General features: G+C 50.6%; 1 protein-coding gene across 5 annotated transcripts, besides 5 other annotated features; it reads left to right on the top strand.

The window, feature by feature from the left end:
* Nucleotides 3,238–3,821: an enhancer, noted in NCBI's record as "H3K27ac-H3K4me1 hESC enhancer chr1:151345119-151345702 (GRCh37/hg19 assembly coordinates)". NCBI's record gives its function as "activates a minimal SCP1, AML or CMV promoter by ChIP-STARR-seq in primed H9 embryonic stem cells {active_cell/tissue: H9 hESC(primed)}" and the evidence as "EXISTENCE:reporter gene assay evidence [ECO:0000049][PMID:30033119]".
* On the top strand, nucleotides 3,759–12,160 carry SELENBP1 (selenium binding protein 1). 5 transcript variants are annotated; one of them, NM_003944.4, is made up of 12 exons: nucleotides 3,759–3,826; nucleotides 6,695–6,751; nucleotides 6,910–7,022; nucleotides 7,275–7,460; nucleotides 8,145–8,265; nucleotides 9,560–9,742; nucleotides 10,011–10,189; nucleotides 10,618–10,696; nucleotides 10,780–10,901; nucleotides 11,183–11,275; nucleotides 11,420–11,538; nucleotides 11,759–12,160. In NM_003944.4, the coding sequence occupies exons 1-12, from the start codon at nucleotides 3,823–3,825 to the stop codon at nucleotides 11,919–11,921; spliced, it is 1,419 nt and encodes a 472-aa protein (NP_003935.2). In that variant the 5' UTR covers nucleotides 3,759–3,822; the 3' UTR covers nucleotides 11,922–12,160. The 5 variants fall into 5 exon arrangements, 4 of the variants coding, with proteins under 4 accessions (NP_003935.2, NP_001245218.1, NP_001245217.1 ...); NM_001258289.2 differs by having other exon boundaries at nucleotides 6,486–6,751; NM_001258288.2 differs by lacking the exon at nucleotides 7,275–7,460.
* Nucleotides 3,822–4,405: an enhancer, noted in NCBI's record as "H3K27ac-H3K4me1 hESC enhancer chr1:151344535-151345118 (GRCh37/hg19 assembly coordinates)". NCBI's record gives its function as "activates a minimal SCP1, AML or CMV promoter by ChIP-STARR-seq in primed H9 embryonic stem cells {active_cell/tissue: H9 hESC(primed)}" and the evidence as "EXISTENCE:reporter gene assay evidence [ECO:0000049][PMID:30033119]".
* Nucleotides 5,152–5,822: an enhancer, noted in NCBI's record as "H3K4me1 hESC enhancer chr1:151343118-151343788 (GRCh37/hg19 assembly coordinates)". NCBI's record gives its function as "activates a minimal SCP1, AML or CMV promoter by ChIP-STARR-seq in primed H9 embryonic stem cells {active_cell/tissue: H9 hESC(primed)}" and the evidence as "EXISTENCE:reporter gene assay evidence [ECO:0000049][PMID:30033119]".
* Nucleotides 5,823–6,494: an enhancer, noted in NCBI's record as "H3K4me1 hESC enhancer chr1:151342446-151343117 (GRCh37/hg19 assembly coordinates)". NCBI's record gives its function as "activates a minimal SCP1, AML or CMV promoter by ChIP-STARR-seq in naive H9 embryonic stem cells {active_cell/tissue: H9 hESC(naive)}" and the evidence as "EXISTENCE:reporter gene assay evidence [ECO:0000049][PMID:30033119]".
* Nucleotides 16,709–16,863: a silencer, noted in NCBI's record as "fragment chr1:151332077-151332231 (GRCh37/hg19 assembly coordinates)". NCBI's record gives its function as "represses an EF-1alpha promoter that drives an FKBP-Casp9 reporter gene in an ReSE screen in HepG2 liver carcinoma cells and K562 erythroleukemia cells {active_cell/tissue: HepG2 | K562}" and the evidence as "EXISTENCE:reporter gene assay evidence [ECO:0000049][PMID:32094911]".

Here is a 20,013-nt window from a genome sequence, read left to right as displayed (position 1 = left end):
AAAGGGAGGATATTTCTGAGTGGATTGGCAGTGAGGAGAAAGTCCTCCAAGTGGTTCTCAAATCATGCTTTTTATAGACAGCCCTGGCAGAGGGCATTAAAAAAAATTATTTCAGCCGGGCGCGGTGGCTCACGCCTGTAATCCCAGCACTTTGGGAGGCCGAGGCAGGCAGATCACGAGGTCAGGAGATAGAGACCATCCTGGCTAACACGGTGAAACCCCGTCTCTACTAAAAATATGAAAAATTAGCCAGGCGTGGTGGCAGGCACCTGTAGTCCCAGCTACTCGAGAGGCTGAGGCATGAGGATGGCGTGAACCTAGGACATGGAACATGCAGTGAGCCAAGACCTTGCCACTGCACTCCAGCCTGGGTGACAGAGTGACGTTCCGTCTCAAAAAAAAAAATTATTTCTCTTCTCTGAGCCATGTTATTACCCTGAGCAGCAGGCTTTGAACTCACTGTCATTCAGAAACAGTGCATTAAGTGTGGGCAACGGAGTGAATTGGGAAAACTCTGTTTCCTGAATGTAAGATGAAGAAAAAGGCATTTACAGGCCAGACACGGTGGCTCACACCTGTAATCCCAGCACTTTGGGAGGCCAATGCGGGTAGATCACAAGGTCAGGAGTTTGAGACCAGCCTGGCCATATGGTGAAACCCCATCTCTATTAAAAAGTACAAAAATTAGCTGGGCGTGGTAGCATGCGCCTGTAGTCCCAGCTACTCAGGAGGCTGAGGCAGGAGAATCACTGGAACCTGGGAGGCGGAGGTTGCAGTGAACAGAGATCACGCCACTGCACTCCAGCCTGGCGACAGAGGGAGACTCTGTCTCAAAAAAAAAAAAAGAAAAGAAAGAAAAAGAAAAAGGCATTTAACCTCTCCAGCTGTGCCATGGGCGGAACCTGAGCTAATTGTTAGTGTGTAGGGCCCGGCATGGCGCCCGTCACCTCTAGTAGCAGGTTCTCAGTAAACGCTACTCCCTTCACATCTCCTACACATCCCTGAGGGTATGGAGTTGGTCTGTTAATATAAGGAGAAATGAGCAGAACAGGGCTCTGAAACTCTACTTAGCTGGTGAAAACTCCAACCTCTCCAGCCAGTCCTGCCTCAGACCTCCATGGGCTGCTACCTTTATGCCTTACAGGCATTTTGTGCACGTTTGTGCTTTTTGGTTTGTTTGTTTTAGTTCTTTTGTACTGTTTGTTTGCATATAATTCTGTACCCATACATACCAAGCAACCCCACCTAATGCTGCATCACCCCTACATTACCCTACTCCTTCACAGCACTTATCTGAAGTGATTTTATTTATTTGTGTATTTGCATGATTATCAGTCATCTCCCCTAAAAAGTCATCTCCATGAAGGTAGCAACTTTGCCCTGTTCACCACTTTGTCTACCATATCTGGCTCAAAAGAGGTGCTCCAGAGGGAAGGATAGGCAGCTGGTTGGGAGAGCTGTAGCTCAAAAGGGACCGGGGCCAGTCCTTCTCCCCAGCATGGGCCCTCACTGTGGCCCTCACCTGCACTGCATGTGACCTTCCATCCTTCCTTTCATCTTCCTTATAGTTTTTCTTTTAATATATTTATTTGAGCTTTTAGTTACAAAAGCAGTACTTATTATTTTTTTAAAAATCCAAAATTAACTTTGGGAGACCAAGGCAGATCACTTGAGCCCAAGAGTCTGAGACCAGTCTGGGCAACATAGTGAGACCCCCCATCTCTACAAAAAAAATTTAAAAATTATCCAGGTCAGCCAGGCACGGTGTCTCAGGCCTGTAATCCCAGCACTTTGGGAGGCGGAGGTGGGTGGATCACTTGAGGTCAGGAGTTCGAGACCAGCCTGTCCAACATGGTGAAACCCCGTCTCTACTAAAAATACAAAAATGAGCCAGGTATGGTTGTGGGCACCTGTAGTCCCAGCTACTCGGGAGGCTGAGGCAGGAGAATCGCCCCTCTACCTTTACTGCCTCCCTCTGTAGCCCAGATTAGGATAACTTCCCCAACCACCTGCTGGCTGTAGAGCAAGAGTTCAGGGAGAAAACCACAGGCAGAGGTGAGGGGTGCCATGGAGTTGCTGCAGAGACCAGCCAGGTCAGAGCTCAGGAGCATGAAAGAGGTAGTCAATGACAGACCACAACAAACAAAATAACAGCCTTTTTTTTTTTAAGTTAATGACTCAATAATTTTTTATGAGAAGGTGGGGATAAAGTTTCTTTCTCTTTCAGATCTTGGGTGGTGGACTAACCCAAGCCAAGAAGCCGGAGAATAGAGAGGAGGCAGGAGATGGAGACCTCAGGAGGAGGAAGAGGGGAGGGCCAGAGGGAAGGGTGAAGGCAGGGTGAGTGGAGGTAGTCAGGACAGGAGGAAGCTGGCAAAGACAAGGAAGCAGCCTTCAGGGCCTTCCCCGTGGGGCAGCTGCACACACAAGACTCTCTTTGATGCCTGGCAGGCTGATGGCACAATGGTGAGGATAATAGATGCAGGATGGAGCCAAGAGGGGTTGAGTGGCGCTGGGGATAAGAGAAGACCCTTGCCCCGGGCAGCCACAGGGAGTCTTCCTTGATGGGCACATGATCCCTCACTGATGGGAGCCAGGAAGACAGATACCCAATGCACCAAGGCCCAATTTTGCTCCCCTTCCCCCACTCTGGTTTGGAAACCCTGTATTCTACTTGCAATCTCAAGCCCAGACTTTATTCTTTTTCCTAGCCAATAAAAACTTCACCCCAGAGCTTTTATCCAAAGAGTATGAATATCTGGAATAAGAGGGCAATCTTAGGGAAGAAGTGACCCTGGCTGATGGGCCCACAGTCCCGGGTGCCCCTAAATGCTAAGAGACAGGTCCAAATACAAAGACGAGCATTTGGAGACACAGGAACACATACGTGCGCAGGCTTACACAAGCACATGCACAGCCACATAGCCACACACTACACATACACAAGCACTTATGCACATGTCCACACAGGCGTAGATACTCTAGCAAGCACATACTCACAGAGGCGCGCACACACACACACACACACACACAGGCGTAGATACTCTGGTAGGCACATACAGAGGCGCGCACACACACACACGCACAAATACACACAAGCACACTCACAGGCACATTCACACACGTGGAAATTCACACACAGGCACAGATACACACTCATGCAGGCACGTGCACGAGCAACACGCAGGTATACAGGAACACACACATGCCCAGACACACAAATCCACACACACCCAGGCACCCACTAAAGAGCACGAGCTGGTCAGGGGCAGCGGCTCACACCTGTGATCCCAGCACTTTGGGAGGCCGACACGGGTGGATCACCTGAGGTCAGGAGTTTGAGACCAGCCTGGCCAACATGGTGAAATCCCTTCTCTACTAAAAATACAAAATTGCTGGGCATGGTGGTGGGTGCCTGTAATCCCAGCTACTCGGGAGGATGAGGCAGGAGAATCACTTGAACCCAGGAGGCAGAGGTTGCAGTGAGCCGAGATCGCACCACTGCACTCCAGCCTGGGCAAGAGTGAGACCCTGTCTCTAAATAAATAAATAAATAAATAAAGCACAGGCTCCCACACATACACACTTAAACACATACACGCACACCCCATAATTCAAACACCAGTTGCCCTAGGCCACTTGAGAGTATCCTGGCCAGCTGCCCTGAGTAGTTTACTCTGGGCTACAGCCCGGGCCCTCCTCCTTCTCTGCCCCACCCCCAGCTGGTTGTATAAATTCCCTCCCTTCGCTCCTTCCCCGGAACAGCGGCCTCTGACACCAGCACAGCAAACCCGCCGGGATCAAAGTGTACCAGTCGGCAGCATGGGTAAGGAGAGGGGTTTCCAATCACCCATTGCCTGCTCTGTCTGCCCCTAATTTGGAAGGCCCTCCTCCAGAAAATGCTAGAAAACCTGAGTGGGGAGCTGGGGAGGGAGTAGTGGACTCTGCTTCATTGTCCCCAGTCTGCACACCCCCTCCCCCACCACCCCACTGCATTTCCCAGCTCAGCCAAACTTTCTGAGGAAGACGGGCAGAGGCACTGCTGGGAGATGGGATCCTGGGCCCTGACTTGGCTCCATCCAGCAGAGGCTGGGACCAGGGTGCCTTTCTGCAGCTGGGAAAATCAGATGGGCGCTCTTAGAAAACACCACTAGGTCCCTGGCCCTCACATAGTAGAGAGGTGATCCTGATTTCAGCCATGGGCCAACTTTGTACTCCAGCGAGGTAGGGAGTCCAAAGCCTTTCTGTGCCCAGGTCACTCTCTAGCTACTCCACACAGCAAAGCTCTCTGGGAGGGAAATCAGAGACCCCCACACTCTTTCACTGGGGACCTGTTTCAATGCCTCCCCCACCCCTAAATCCCCCTTGGCCCTGCTATTCCTCCATCTGTAGGCTTCTGGGTGACAGGCTAAGAAGGAACTGAGGTTTGGTTGGGAGGTCCTTCCCCGCTCGGGGCTGGCTCTTGAGCTGGCAGAATGCCGAGCTGGCAGAATGCCCAGCAGCCAGCCTGACATGGAAAACCCACTTGAGCTTTCCATGAGTCCATCCCAAACCCAAAGCTGCTCCGAGACCTTGCTTGAGATGTTTCAGATGGGGGTATTCCCCAGAAAGAGGAATGATGCTCCCTGGGGCTGCAGTGGCATGCCAGGCCTGACCCTAAGAAATGCTGGGGCTGGGGTTGCTGGGGTGTGGGGTGGGCCGAGGCTGCAGAGCGGGCAGCTCCATCTCTGCACTTTTACTTCCCTCTCAGCTTCTCCCTAGCTTTGTATTTTTTGTATCTCTGTCTTGAGGTCTTGGAGTTTTAAAATCTCCTTTCCCTTCTGTATCCAGCAACCTCCTTCCCCACCCCCTGTCATCTGGTGCCAAGCCCCGACTTAGCAAGATTGTGTAACAGAACCAGTCTCCTTAACTCCTGTGAACTGGACCTCTCTCTCTCTCCCTGCCCCACCTCCAGCCCTCTCGCTGGGCATCGAGCACTCCCTGGCATTCTCCTCTCCTCTGGCACAGCCCTTCCCATATTTACACAGTAATTCATTATTTTTTTTTTTTTTTAGTCAGAATTTCACTCTTGTTGCCCAGGCTGGAGTGACTGCAGTGGCGTGATTTCGGCTTACTGCAGCCTCCACCTCCCAGGTTCAAGTGATTCTCCTGCCTCAGCCTCCCAAGTAGCTGGGATTACAGGTGTATGCCTGTATTTTTTAATACAGGCTAATTTTTAATACAGGGTAATTTTTGTATTTTTAATAGAGACAGGGTTTTGCCATGTTAGTGAGGCTGGTCTCAAACTCCTGACCTTAGGTGATCTTTCCGCCTCAGCCTCCCAAAGTGCTGGGATTACAGGCATGAGCCACCGCACCCGGCCTAATTCATTTTTATGAAAGGCCTTTGGAATACATTGTCTTATTTGTCCTCCATATCTACCTAGCAAAGTAGGTAGAATATCATTATTGCCCACTTTTCGTAAATGAAGAGGAGAAAATGGAGAAACGGGGCGTCAAAACTGGGACTTGAAACCAGGTTTCCAGACTCTGAACGCTGTTGCTGCCTCTCAGCTTCCTAAGTCTCTTGGCTGCTGCGAGTGGGAGTCCCAGGCCCCAGTGGAGGCCCCACTCTGCCTACTCCTGGCTCCCCACTTGCGGCCCAGCTGTGAAGGCAGAGGCTGGACTGGCCACAGGACAAGGCAGGAGACAGGGCCCAGGCCTGTGGACTCCACTCCAGGGTTTCTTTCAGCCTGCCACCCCCTCTGGGTATTCTTTAACCCCTGCTCCCCAGCAGGCCCCAAACTCTGATGCTGGGGTGCTGGTAGCTGTGATGTCCCAGCCCTACTGCACATCTGCTGACTTACATCCTGGAGATTAGCATGGCCCCTCTTGCCAGACTTCAGAGATAGGGAGGGTTGCTCCCTATCTCTCTGGTGGGCAGGCCTCTGGGCTCTCCAGAGTTGGGCCAAACACCTTACTTTACAGATAAAGGAAGTGGGGCACACCCAGGGGTAGAAACCAGCCTGAGGACTTCCAGTTGGTATTAGCCCCAGACCCTCGGTTATGTAATCCAGCCCTTGGCTAGCAGCCTGGGATCAGGACCCAGGGGAGAGAAAAGCAGGAAGTGGCCTCCCCCTGATATAGAAGCATCTTGGTGAAGGGAGCTGAGCAGGCGCCACCCCACTCCCTGAGAGCAGCTCCTCAAGAACAGCCAAGGGTGCCTGGGCTTCGACCAGACAAACACAGAGCTGCACACCTACTGCACCCTCGTGTTTACTTCTCGTAAAAGCCCACTGTGAAATTCTTACCATCTCCATTTTACAGAGGATGCAGAAATTGAGGTCGAGGAGCTTCAGTACTTTGCCCAAGCTCCCCTGGCTAGTCAGTGGTGGGCTGGGGTTGGGCCCCGAGTCCGTGTCATATTCACTACACCACACGACCCCGGCTGCATCAGCCCTCCTCCCACCCTCCCGGGGCCCTGCTGGACTGTCTGTCCACCTTCAGGTCATGTGTCTCCAGCTCTTCCCAGCACAACCTCACCCTCCTCAGGGCTCTGAGGGGGCGGAGAGGACAGGCCAGAGCGATGAGGCTGGAGTGGGGACCTAGGCCAGCCGCACTGCCGTGGCCCGCTGGGATGTGTGCTGCAGAACGTGCGGAGGGAGCCTTCACCCTCCAGAGCGTGGCCCAGCCAATGCGCCCCATTGCTTCCACAGCTACGAAATGTGGGAATTGTGGACCCGGCTACTCCACCCCTCTGGAGGCCATGAAAGGTAATTGCCCATGGTCTGAGAGCCAGCGCCCTACTACTGATTCCACAGCTGGGGGTGGAGGGACTTCAGACCTAGCCCCCACCCTCTGGCACACCCAGCACTTCCCCTACCTTTCCTTCCCACCCTGCCGTCCCTGCTGCCTGCTTTCTACCGTGCAGGACCCAGGGAAGAGATCGTCTACCTGCCCTGCATTTACCGAAACACAGGCACTGAGGCCCCAGATTATCTGGCCACTGTGGATGTTGACCCCAAGTCTCCCCAGTATTGCCAGGTTAGGCGGGGCTTGGGCGCCAGCTACTTTGAGACCATAGCTGCCCTCATCCCTGGCCCTGGGCCCCCCCTTCCCAGCTCCATCCTTCTTGGCCCTCCCTGGGGATGCTTGTGCACGCTCAACCTGGGACAAGGGGAGTGCTGAAATCCAGCCTGTGCCGTGCTTCCAAACCAAAATGAGTCCACAGGGCGCCTCTTCCAAAAGTGGACAGAGGCGTGGCCTGGGGGAGCACCACCTCTCCCCGCATCCTAGGTCATCCACCGGCTGCCCATGCCCAACCTGAAGGACGAGCTGCATCACTCAGGATGGAACACCTGCAGCAGCTGCTTCGGTGATAGCACCAAGTCGCGCACCAAGCTGGTGCTGCCCAGTCTCATCTCCTCTCGCATCTATGTGGTGGACGTGGGCTCTGAGCCCCGGGCCCCAAAGCTGCACAAGGCATGTCCTCTGCCCTTGCCAGCTCAGTAGACCATAAGACACCTGCCACCCCAGGTAGTCTACGGGCAGGAAGCCAGACCTAAACCAGCAGCCTCCAGCTCTTACGCGGCAACTGGCTCGGCAGCAGGGAGGGAGGTTGGACCTCAGAGCAGAGTCTACCCAGGCATTCTGGGTCATCACCCTCCAGCACGGTGACCAGGGCATGGGAGAAGAGGGACAAGGCTTCTTGTTTTACTCTGAGAGAGGGAGGGAGCCATTTATTCCCCCATGCAGTTAGGAGCTCAGGGTTCTCTTAAAAATTCCGGTCTCTCCCAACACTTTGTTTAGTGCACTTTTGGTGCCAGGCATTTACTGTGTTGTCTACTGGTAATACAGAGTTGACACTGGTGTAGGCCAGCCTGGGAGGAGCTTATGGTTTCACAGGGCTGCGTGTGCCTTCAGGACACATGGGGAAAGGTCAGCGCTTTCTGCCTGGGGAGTTATTAGCAATCTCTCTGACTTTCCCTTGCTGCTCTGTAGAAGTTACCAGACTGAATCTTTGTCATATTCCCACAGGGAGAGTTGTGTCCATGTTTTGAAGGAAAAGATGACAGAGTCAGCAGATAGAAGTAGGGGAAGTATGGAGGTTAAGAGCAGGGACTCCCAGTCCTGTATGATTCTGACACCATTCCCCACCCCTTCCAGGTCATTGAGCCCAAGGACATCCATGCCAAGTGCGAACTGGCCTTTCTCCACACCAGCCACTGCCTGGCCAGCGGGGAAGTGATGATCAGCTCCCTGGGAGACGTCAAGGGCAATGGCAAAGGTACCTGCCAGCACTGTGTGCTCATGAAAACTTCCACAGCTGTGAAATGTGGGAAGCATTTTTCTGTGGGAGGAGCAGAATGGAAGGGGAGGGTTGGAATGACTTCCCAAGGAGAACCAGTGAGCTGGATCCCAGCCAGTATTTTAAATGTTAGCAAGTAACTTCAGTTTTGAATATTTCTATTAAGATGAGTCTTCACTGATGAATTCAGTTCAAAGTTATAGTCAAAACAGGCCAGGTGTTGTGCCTCACTCCTCTAATCCCAGCACTTCAAGAGGCCGAGGCCAGCGGATCGCTTGAGCTCAGGAGTTCCAAACCAGCCTGGCCAACATGGTGAAACCCCATCTCTGTGTTGTCTGCTGATAATACAGAGTTGGCACTGGCAACTCTGCACTAAAAATACACAAATTAGCTGGGTGTGGTGGTACAGGCCTATAACCCCCACTTCTCAAGAGGCTGAGGTAGGAGGATCACCCGAGCCCAGGGAGGTCAAGGCTGCAATGAGCTGTGATTGAACCACAGCACTTCAGCTTGGGCGTCAGAGTGAGACCCTCTCTCAAAAAAATGTAGTGAGCAGAATGGAGCTTAGACTCTGGGAGGAATCCCACTCCAAAAGTGGGAGGCTGGACAAGAGAAATACCAGGTGCTGAGTCCCAGAAGATCTCGTGGGAGAAACGTTTCTGCTGTGGTCTGAGAGAGAGATGAAGTAGACAGGAGACAGGGGCACTGGCGTAAAGGCCCCCCTGCCACCTGGCCAAATTTGAATACCTGGATGAGACCCTTTGGATGCCTGAATTTTTTATTTACTTTTTCTTTTCTTTTTTCTTTTTCTTTTCTCTTTTTTTTTTTTTTTTGAGATGGGAGTCTCGTTCTGTTGCCCAGGCTAGAGTGCAGTGGCGCAATCTCAGCTCACTCCAACCTCCGCCTCACTGGTTCAAGAGATTATCCTGCCTCAGCCTCCCGAGTAGCTGGGATTACAGGCATGTGACGCCATGCCTGGGTAATTTTTTATATTTTTAATAGAGACAGAGTTTCACCATGTTGGCCAGGCTGATCCTGAACTCCTGACCTCAAGTGATCCGCCCGCCTCAGCCTCTCAAAGGGCTGGGATTACTGGCATGAGCCACTCTTCCCCCAGCCCTGGATGCCTGAATTTAAGGAACTGGCAAATCCAGCAGTGGAGGTAGAGGCAATGGGCTTACAGCCTCTTAGACATGCCTCGGGGAGAGGGCTGGAGGGTGGGGTTAGTGTCTCTACTGCTTCTACCTGCCACCCTGCTTCCTTCCCTGTTCAGGGGGTTTTGTGCTGCTGGATGGGGAGACGTTCGAGGTGAAGGGGACATGGGAGAGACCTGGGGGTGCTGCACCGTTGGGCTATGACTTCTGGTACCAGCCTCGACACAATGTCATGATCAGCACTGAGTGGGCAGCTCCCAATGTCTTACGAGATGGCTTCAACCCCGCTGATGTGGAGGCTGGTGAGAATCCCCCCATGTGCCAGCAGGAGCCTTGGGCCTACATCCCCTTGCTTTCTGCTCCAAATCTCCCACCCCCACACTTCCCTCCTGTGGCCCCAGAATCTAAGAGAGATGGCATAGGATGTACCGCATGCTCAGATTGCTCAAGCGTCTTCCTGATCCCTCCAATCCATTTCTTAACCTTCTGCCCTGATTGGTGGCCCAGTCTTTGCCCATGCCTTCCAACCTCTGATGCTGAGCCTATCCTCCGGCCCCACTCCCACCCCAGGACTGTACGGGAGCCACTTATATGTATGGGACTGGCAGCGCCATGAGATTGTGCAGACCCTGTCTCTAAAAGATGGGCTTATTCCCTTGGAGATCCGCTTCCTGCACAACCCAGACGCTGCCCAAGGCTTTGTGGGCTGCGCACTCAGCTCCACCATCCAGCGCTTCTACAAGAACGAGGTGACATACGCCCTCTGGCCCTCCCCTCCCAGTAGTCTTGTCAGCAGCTCTACCTAAGCAGGCTTCTGTAACGGTGCTCCCAGGCGTCTCCAGGAACGAAAAAAATGAGGCTGCATGCCCTGTCTCTCTTCTCTCAGTGCTAGGGCAACTTCTGCCTGAACCCTAACTGGCCGTATTTATCCATTCATTCAAAAACTACTTAGTGAATGTCTGTGCTAGGCACTGTGCTATGTTCTGGGAATGCAGTGGTGAAGCAGACACAACCCCTGCCTCAAGGGGCTTGCATGGAGTTAGATCCTGCTGGCAAGAAGGCCGGGCATCTATTCTCTCCCTCCCAGGTCTGGGCAACCCAGATCTAACCCCTAGTCCCCAATTCTGATAGGCTGACCTCTCTGCCAGCTAACCTCACCCTCCACCCCTCAATGTAGGGAGGTACATGGTCAGTGGAGAAGGTGATCCAGGTGCCCCCCAAGAAAGTGAAGGGCTGGCTGCTGCCCGAAATGCCAGGTGAGTGCCTAGGGCATAGGAAAGTTGATTCTTGGCCTGGGAAACAAGAGTCCTTAAAGGCTCTACTCGCCCCCTGCCCACAGGCCTGATCACCGACATCCTGCTCTCCCTGGACGACCGCTTCCTCTACTTCAGCAACTGGCTGCATGGGGACCTGAGGCAGTATGACATCTCTGACCCACAGAGACCCCGCCTCACAGGACAGGTGGAGACCCTGGCAGGAGGAGCAGAAGGGAAGGAAGGAAAGAGAAGAGAAGCTGGGGATGGGGTGGATGATCTGAAGCAGCTGCAGGATGTTGAGGGAGGTGCAGGAAAAGCAGACATGTGTGCTGTGGGACAGCACAGGCCCAGGACTGTCCAGGCCAGGGATGGGCATGCAGAGCATGTCTGAAAGGAGAGAGGGGTTCCAGCCAGGCAAGCTGCTCTTCCTGCAATGTTTGCGCCTCCCACTATGGTCCTCCTTATACTCTGCACCTCCCCATCTAGCTCTTCCTCGGAGGCAGCATTGTTAAGGGAGGCCCTGTGCAAGTGCTGGAGGACGAGGAACTAAAGTCCCAGCCAGAGCCCCTAGTGGTCAAGGTAAGAGCCTCTCCCCCTACTTGCTGGACCCCTCAGACCCATGCTTGAGGAATATGTGGGGGAGCAGCTGAGCATACTCTTGGGGTTGGGGTGGTGCCTAGGATCTGTGTGTTACCCTGGGCTCTGACCCCTGGTTTTCCCAAGGGAAAACGGGTGGCTGGAGGCCCTCAGATGATCCAGCTCAGCCTGGATGGGAAGCGCCTCTACATCACCACGTCGCTGTACAGTGCCTGGGACAAGCAGTTTTACCCTGATCTCATCAGGTGAGAAGCAGACACATGGGCTCTCCTCCCCAGCCCTCCTCTTCCAGAGGGGTCATTTGGCTTTCTGAAGACTCCTCAAGGAGACCCCTGTACCCCACCACACAGATGGCCCATTGAGACCCTGGTCATTCCTCCTTCCTCAGGAGCTTTCCCCTAAAATCTTAGGGGAAGGGGGCAGCCACCTCTGACCTCTCCCTTACCCCATTCCCTTTTCCACCAGGGAAGGCTCTGTGATGCTGCAGGTTGATGTAGACACAGTAAAAGGAGGGCTGAAGTTGAACCCCAACTTCCTGGTGGACTTCGGGAAGGAGCCCCTTGGCCCAGCCCTTGCCCATGAGCTCCGCTACCCTGGGGGCGATTGTAGCTCTGACATCTGGATTTGAACTCCACCCTCATCACCCACACTCCCTATTTTGGGCCCTCACTTCCTTGGGGACCTGGCTTCATTCTGCTCTCTCTTGGCACCCGACCCTTGGCAGCATGTACCACACAGCCAAGCTGAGACTGTGGCAATGTGTTGAGTCATATACATTTACTGACCACTGTTGCTTGTTGCTCACTGTGCTGCTTTTCCATGAGCTCTTGGAGGCACCAAGAAATAAACTCGTAACCCTGTCCTTCAGATGGCCTTGTCTTTGGGGGCCCAGGGCCTGTGTCTCTTCTTCTGCCTACCCTTTGTATCATGCACAAGAAAGGGCTAAAGAGGCCTCCAGTGGGGGTTATGGTAACTAGTTCACACCAGTGATTCCAACATGATGCTAATAATGCCCAAATCTCAATTTTATGGCCAGACAAAATCTGAAAATTTTGGGGGTGATCGTCACAAGGAGACCTGGGGGTAGAGAATGTAAATCGGTGTTTCTAAAGTTTTGGTTTTTTTTTAACCCATGCTTTCTTTTAATGAACCTAAAAATCTCACCCATCACTCTCAAGAGAATGTAACATGCTCCCTCACACACAGGAGACCCCAGGATCCCTGTTGTGTATAGTGTAATATATTTCCACTGATGGCAAGACGACTGGGAGAACGCAGCTGTTGGGAGGTTTATCAGGCTGCTCTTGCATTGCTATAAATGCCTGAGACTGGGTAATTTATAAAGAAAAGAGGTTTAATTGGCTCATGGTTCTGCAGGCTCTACAGGAAGCATGACACTGGCATCTGCCCGGCTTCTCAGGAGGCCTCAGGAAACTTACAATCATGGCAGATGGTGAAGGAGGAGCACAAACATCACACGGCCAGAGTAGGAGCAAGAGAGAGAGAGCAAGGGGGGAGGTGCCACACACTTTTAAACAACCAGATCTCAGGAGAACTCACTCACGGTCTCAAGGATAGTACCAAGGGGGGTGGTGCCAAACCAGTCATGAGAAACCCACCCCCCATGATCCAGTCATCTCCCACCAGGCCCCACCTCCAACACTGGGAATTACAATTTGACATGAGATTTGTTGGGGACACAGTTTCAAACCATATCATTCTGCCGCTGGCCCCCCCACAAATTTCATGTCCTTCTCACATTTCAAAATACAATTATGCCTTTCCAATAATCCCCAAAGTCTTAATTCATTCCAGCATTAACTTAAAAGTCCAAAGTCCAAAGTCTCATCTGAGAAAAAGCAAGTCCCTTCCACCTATGAGCCTGTAAAATAAAAAACAAGTTAGTTACTCCCAAGATACAATGGGGGTATAGGCATTGGGTAAATACTCCTATGCCAAAAGGGAGAAATGAGCCAAATGAAAGGGGCTTCAGGCCCCATGCAAGTCCAAAACCCAGCAGGGCAGTTGTTAAATATTAATACTCCAAAATAATCTCCTTTGTCTCCATGTCCCAAATCCAGGGCGCACTGGTGCTATGGATGGGCTTCCAAGGCCTTGGGCTCTGCCCCTGTGGTTTTGCAGGGTTCAGCTCCCATGACTGCTCTCATGGGCTGGTGTTGAGTGCCTGTGGCTTTTCCAGGTGCAGGGTGCCAGCTGGCAGTGGATCTACCATTGTGGGGTCTGGAAGACAGTGGCCCTCTTCTCACAGCTCTACTAGGCAGTGCCCCACTGGGGACTCTGTGTGGGGGCTCCAACCCCACATTTCCCCTCCACCCGACCCTAGTAGAGGTTCTCCATAAGTGTTCTGCCTCTGTAGCAGGCTTCTGCCTGGAGCCCAGTCTTCTCCATACATCCTCTGAAATCTAGGCAGAGGCTCCCAGGCCTCAACTCTTGCACTCTGCACAGCTTCAGGCTTAACACCACATGGAAGCCACCAAGGCTTAGGTTTGCACTCTCTGGAGCAGTGGCCCAAGCTATACCTGGGCCCCTTTGAGCCATGCCTGGAGCTGGAGCAGCTGGAATGCAGGGAGCAGCACAGAGCAGGGGGAGCCTGGACATGGCCCACAAAACCATTCAGTCCTCCTAGGCCTCTGGGCCTGTGATGGGAGGAGCTGCTGCAAAGGTCTCTGAAATGCCTTTACGGCCTCCCACCAGGCCCCACCTCCAACACTAGGGATTACCACTGAACATGAGATATGGTGGAGACACAGATCCAAACCATATCAGGAGGTTAAATGTGTCACCTCTACCTGGAATACAGGAACATTACCACACAGGAGGGCTAGGAACACCATGGTGAACCAATCCAACAGGCCAGGCCATGGCACTCTTGTCTCCTCACCCAGATGGTATTTTAGAACCTTACTCAGAGATGTCTCCTTTCCCTGTGCTAGGTGGTGGTGGTGGAGGTGTTGTTGTTGTTGTTGTTGTTGCTGTTGTTGTTCTTCTTCTTCTTCTCCTTCTTCTCTTCTTCCTCTTCTTCATTTCTTTCTTTTCTGCCTCTTCCTCCTCTTCCTCTTCTCCTCCTCCTCCTTCTTCCTCTTTTCCTTCTCCTTATTCTTCCTCCTCCTCTTTTTCTTTCTTCTCCTTCTTCCTCTTCTTCTCCTTCCTTCCTCCTCCTCCTTCTTTTCTTCTTTTTCAAAATAAGGTTTCCCTATATTGCCCAGGCTGGTCTCAAACTCCTGGGCTCAAGTGATCATCTTGCCTCAACCTTGCAAAGTGCTGGGATTACACAAGTGAACCACCATGCCCTGCCTACAATTCTTTTTTTTTTTTTTTTTTTTTTTTTTTTTGAGACAGGGTCTTACTCTGGTGCCCAGGCTGGAATACAGTGGCACAATCACAGCTCGCTGCAGCCTCAGTGTTACAGGCATAATCATCACACCTGACTCAATTCTTTATAGAAGGAATCTGATAGAAATTCCTTTATAGAAGGAATCTGATAGAAATTTGATAGAGATAGCAGCCAAATGGTAATTATTATTTTATTTTATTTTATTTTGGATAGCGTCTTGCTCTGTCGCCCAGGCTGAAGTGCAGTGGCATGATCTTGGCTGACTGCAACATCTGCCTCCTGGGTTCAAGCAATTCTTCTGTCTCAGCCTCCCAAGTAGCTGGGATTGCAGGCGTGCACCACCACACCTGGATAATTTTTGTATTTTTAGTAGAGACTGGGTTTCACCATGTTGGCCAGGCAGGTCTCGAACCTCTGAACTCAAGATATCTGCCCACCTCGGCCTCCCAAAGTGCTGGAATTGCAGGCATGAGCCACTGTGCCCAGCCCAAATGGTAATTCTACTGACTCCTTTATTCTCTCCCTAGACAATATTAAACAACATTCAGGTATTGACCTACATTCTTTTCAGTCTTCTGAAAAGGTGTCTTTCTTTTAAACATTGGAGCAGCCTAGGACCCCCAGGATGGTCTCACCACCCCAGGAATACACCATACTTTCCCTTTGAGGCCTTTAAACATGCTCCCTGAAATGTCCACCTCAACTGGAGTCCTGATTCCCTCCTTCTGCCTCACCTGCCATCCAGGCCAGATTTCCTTGTCCTCTGGGAAGCCTCCTTCCCTGGCTCCTCCAGGCCAGGGGCCCATTTTAACGCTCACAAAGCCTGCCACACTTAACCTCATCATAAACTCATGTCTCTTGGAATCTAAACTCCCTGTTAACTCCCAGCACCTAGCTTGGATGTTGGCACTTAGTACACTTTAATGAATAAATGGATATAAAGGAAGTGCTCAAAATGAGTAGGAAGTTACAGGGAGCCTTGGGATTTACAAGGTTTTACCAGAAGTTTCTCTCCTTGGTCTCTGCTCTGTTCTCTTCAATAACCAAACTTCTTCAGAATGAGAAAGGATAATGTAGTTCTACATCATTTCTATCTCTTCCTAAAAGCTTAAAATTCCACTCAGCAATATTCCATCCCATTCATCTTCTTCATTCTGGTAAGAGCAATTGCCCTACCTGAAGGCAGGGAAACTACTGAAGACAACTGGGGCGGCCGGGCGCAGTGGCTCACGCCTGTAATCCCAGCACTTTGGGAGGCAGAGGTGACTGGATCATCTGAGGTCAGGAGTTCGAGACCAGCCTGGCCAAAATGGTGAAACCCCATCTCTACTAAAAATACAAAAATTAGCCGGGCATGGTAGCACACGCCTGTAATCCCAGCTACTCAGGAGGCTGAGGCAGGAGAATCACTTCAACCTGGGAGGCAGAGCTTGCAGCGAGCCAAGATCACGCCATTGCACTCGATCAAGCCTGGGCGACAGAGCGAGACTCTGTCACAAAAAAAAAAAAAAAAAAAAAAGACAACTGGGGCTATGTCTAAAGGATTCATGCCATATCTGACAAAAGATTTGTATCTAGAATGAGTGGAAAACTCTAAAAACTCAACAGTAAAAAACCAAACACTCCAGTTAGAAAATGAACAAAAGGGATGGGCATGGTAGTTCACACCTGTAATCTCAGCACTTTGGGGGGACGAGGCGGGTGGATCACTTGAGGCCAGTAGTTCGAGACCAGCCTCACCAATATGGTGAACCCCATCTCTACCAAAAATACAAATATTAGCCAGGTGTGGTGGTGTGCACTTGTAGTCCCAGCTACTAAGGAGGCTGAGGCAGAAGAATAGCTTGAACATGGGAGATGGAGGTTTTGGTGAGCTGAGATCACGTCACTGCACTCCAGCCTGGGCAACAGAGCTGCCCACCTGTCGGATGTGTTGGCTCATGCCTGTAATCCCAGCACTTTGGGAGGCCAAGGCGGATAGATCGCTTGAGGTCAGGAGTTCGAGACCAGCCTGGCCAACATGGTGAAACCCCATCTCTACTAAAAATACAAAAAATTAACCAGGACTGGTGGCACATGCTTGTAATCCCAGCTACTTGGGAGGCTGAAGCAGGAGAATTACTTGAACCTGGGAGGCAAAGGTTGCAGTGAGCCAAGATCGTGCCACTGCAGTCACTCCAGCCTGGGCAACAAGAGAGAAACTCCATCTCAAAAAAAAAAAAAAAAAAGTCTGATCAAGCCTCTAGGTCTCTCATCAGTTTATAGGAGATACAAGGAACAGAAGAACAAGTTTAAAAATACTATAGGCCAGGCACGGTGACTAACTCCTGTAATCCCAGCACTTTGGGAGGCCAAGCCGGGTGGATCACTTAAACTCAGGAGTTCAAGACCAGCCTGGCCAACATGGCAAAAACCCCCTCTCTACAAAAAAATACAAAAATTATCTGGGCATGGTGGCATGTGCCTGTGGTCCCAGCTACTCCAGAGGCTGAGGCTGGGACCATAGGCACACAACATCTCAAATAGTTACTCGTTTTTTTGTTTTTTTGGCAAGAGCAGCTAAAAACTATGAAAAAATTCAAACATATAAGAGGAGAAGGAAGAATGTAATAAATGCCCACATAAACATACCCATCATCCTGCTTGAATTGCTTGAATCCAGGAGGTGGAGATTGCAGTAAGCTGTGATCATGCCACTGCACTCCAGCCTGGGTGACAGAGCCAGACCCTGTCTCAAACAAACAAACAAACACCACCATAAAGATACAATAATAAAAATCCAGAATGTGAGAAATCTTATAGAGCAAATGACCTGTCTCCTCAACAGACCCACTGAGAGAGACAGACTATGGATTAGAAAGAATTAGGAAACACATTAACCGAACCAATTACAACGCAATGCGTGACCTTTGTTGATCCTGATTTGAACCTATCAAGAGAAAAATACAGTTTTTGAGAAAACTAGAGAAATTTGAACACTGACTAGATGTGTAATGATACTAAGAGATAATTTTTAATTTTTAGGTGTGATCATGGCTTTGGGCATTATTAAAAGAGAGTCTTTATTTTTTAGTCACATTAAATTATTTACTGTAAATACCTAAGTATTTAAAGATGATACAATATAATGAATGTCTGCATTATATTAACTTAGAGTGGGGAGGCATGGATAAAACAAGATGATCGGCCAGGCGCGGTGGTTCACGCCTCTAATCCCAGCACTTTGGGAGGCTGAAGTGGGCGGATCACCTGAGGTCAGGAGTTCAAGACCAGCCTGGTCAACATGTGAAACCCCATCTCTACTAAAAATACAAAAATTAGCTGGGCATCATGGCAGATGCCTGTAATCCCAGCTACTCAGGAGGTTGAGGCGGGAGAATCTCTTGACCATGGGAGGCCGACGTTACAGTGAGCCAAGATCACGCCACTTCACTCCAGCCTGGGCAACAGAGCGAGACTCTGTCAAAAAAAAAAAAAAAGATCAGGGCCAGGTGCGGTGGGTCATGCCTGTAATCCTAGCAGTTTGGGAGGCCAAGGCAGGCAGATCACCTGAGGTCAGGAGTTCAAGACCGGTCTGGCCAACATGGTGAAGCCCCATCTCTACTAAAAATACAAAAATTAGCCAGGCATGGTGGTCTGTGCCTGTAATCCCAGCTACCCAGGAGGCTGAAGCAGGAGAATCGCTGGAACCTGGGAGGCAGAGGTTGCAGGCCGAGATCACGCCACTGCACTCCAACCTGGGCGACAAGAGCCAAACTCCGTCTCAAAAAAAAAGGTTGGGGGGGCTGGGCGCTGTGGCTCACACCTGTAATCCCAGAACTTTGAGAGGCCAAGGTGAGCAGATCACAAGGTCAGGAGTTTGAAACCAGCCTGACCAACATGGTGAAACCCTGTCTGCACTAAAAATACAAAAAATTAGCCAGGTGTGGTGGCGCATGCCTGTAATCCCAGCTACCAGGGAGTCTGAGACAGGAGAATCCCTTGAACCCAGGAGGCAGATGTTGCAGTGAGCAGAGATTATGTCATTGCACTCCAGCCTGGGCGACAGAGCAAGACTCTGTCTCAAAAAAAAAAAAAAAATAGATGATCAGATGTGGACAATCATTCAAGCAGGATGATGGGTATGTGTATGTGAGTGTTTATTACATTCTTCCTTCTCCTCTTATATATTTGAAATTTTTCATAGTTTTTAGCTGTTCTTCCAAAAAAAAAACAAAAAAAAATTGAGTAACTGTGAGAAGACGTATATATTAATTTGCTTCACTATAGTAATATTATATATATCTTAAATATACACAATAAAATTAATTTTGTAAAGAAAGAAATCTTTTTCATAATAAAAGCTTAAAATTCTATTCACTTTTATCCTGATCTTGGCATCCTCTCACTATGTCTAACCCTACATCACTGAAACAGACTCCAAAAACAAGAGGCCCTCCTGTAACAGACAACCCAGGCACCAGCAACATGCAGAGGGTACCCACCCAGATACCTCTCTCTGCTGCACTCACAAAGATTCTACCCCACACCCCAGAACCAGGCTAGATGAGCAAGAATAGCAAAGCTGAGGAGTGTGCTGTGGGAAAAGTCTACTATATCACCTAGGATCTCCTGCCAGCACCATGGCTTATGAGGCCATGTAGAAGGTTCTAGAAAGTTTGTTGAGCTCAGGGACACCCTCAGAAAAGCTGTAGTGCCAGTCCACCAGGACAAAGGATATAAGAGAGCATTGGGAGATTTCTATCCCATCGTTGGTCCTTCAAGCATTATCTCACACACTGCACTCCAGTAAGTCTCTAAAAGACAGCATCAGGCAATTGCACTCATCTCAGGGATTAGTGAGGTCCTCCTTCTCACATTCCTGCATCCAGTCCTCCCACTTTCATCTTCCAAGTGTTTGACCAGCTGGCTCCATGCTCTGGATATCTGCTCTGTGCCTCCTCTGGCATGCTCTTAGGAGTCCCTTCCCTGACTTCCTTATTTTGATGTGTGGCAGACTCTCTACTCTCAATACTATCTGACCTAGAGGAATGTGTGCAATACATTGTTCATGAAAAAAAGTAATCGTAGAGTTATGTGAATAATTCTATAACTATAGTATAATCCCCAGTTTTAAAAACAAATTCAACCACAATAGCAACAAAAACTTCTATTTAAGGCCAGGCGCAGTGGCTCACGCCTGCAATCCCAGCACTTTGGGAGGCCAAGGAGGGCAGATCACTTGAGGCCCGGAGTTTGAGACCAACCTGGCCAACATGGTGAAACCCCATCTCTACTAAAAATACAAAAATTAGTTGAGCATGCTGGCACACACCTGTAGTTACAGCTACTCAGGAGGCTGAGGCAGGAGAATCGTTTGAACCTG

This window comes from Homo sapiens, chromosome 1 (genome assembly GCF_000001405.40).
Source record: "Homo sapiens chromosome 1, GRCh38.p14 Primary Assembly".
NCBI lineage: Eukaryota > Metazoa > Chordata > Mammalia > Primates > Hominidae > Homo > Homo sapiens.
This window is presented reverse-complemented; position numbering and strand designations above follow the sequence as displayed.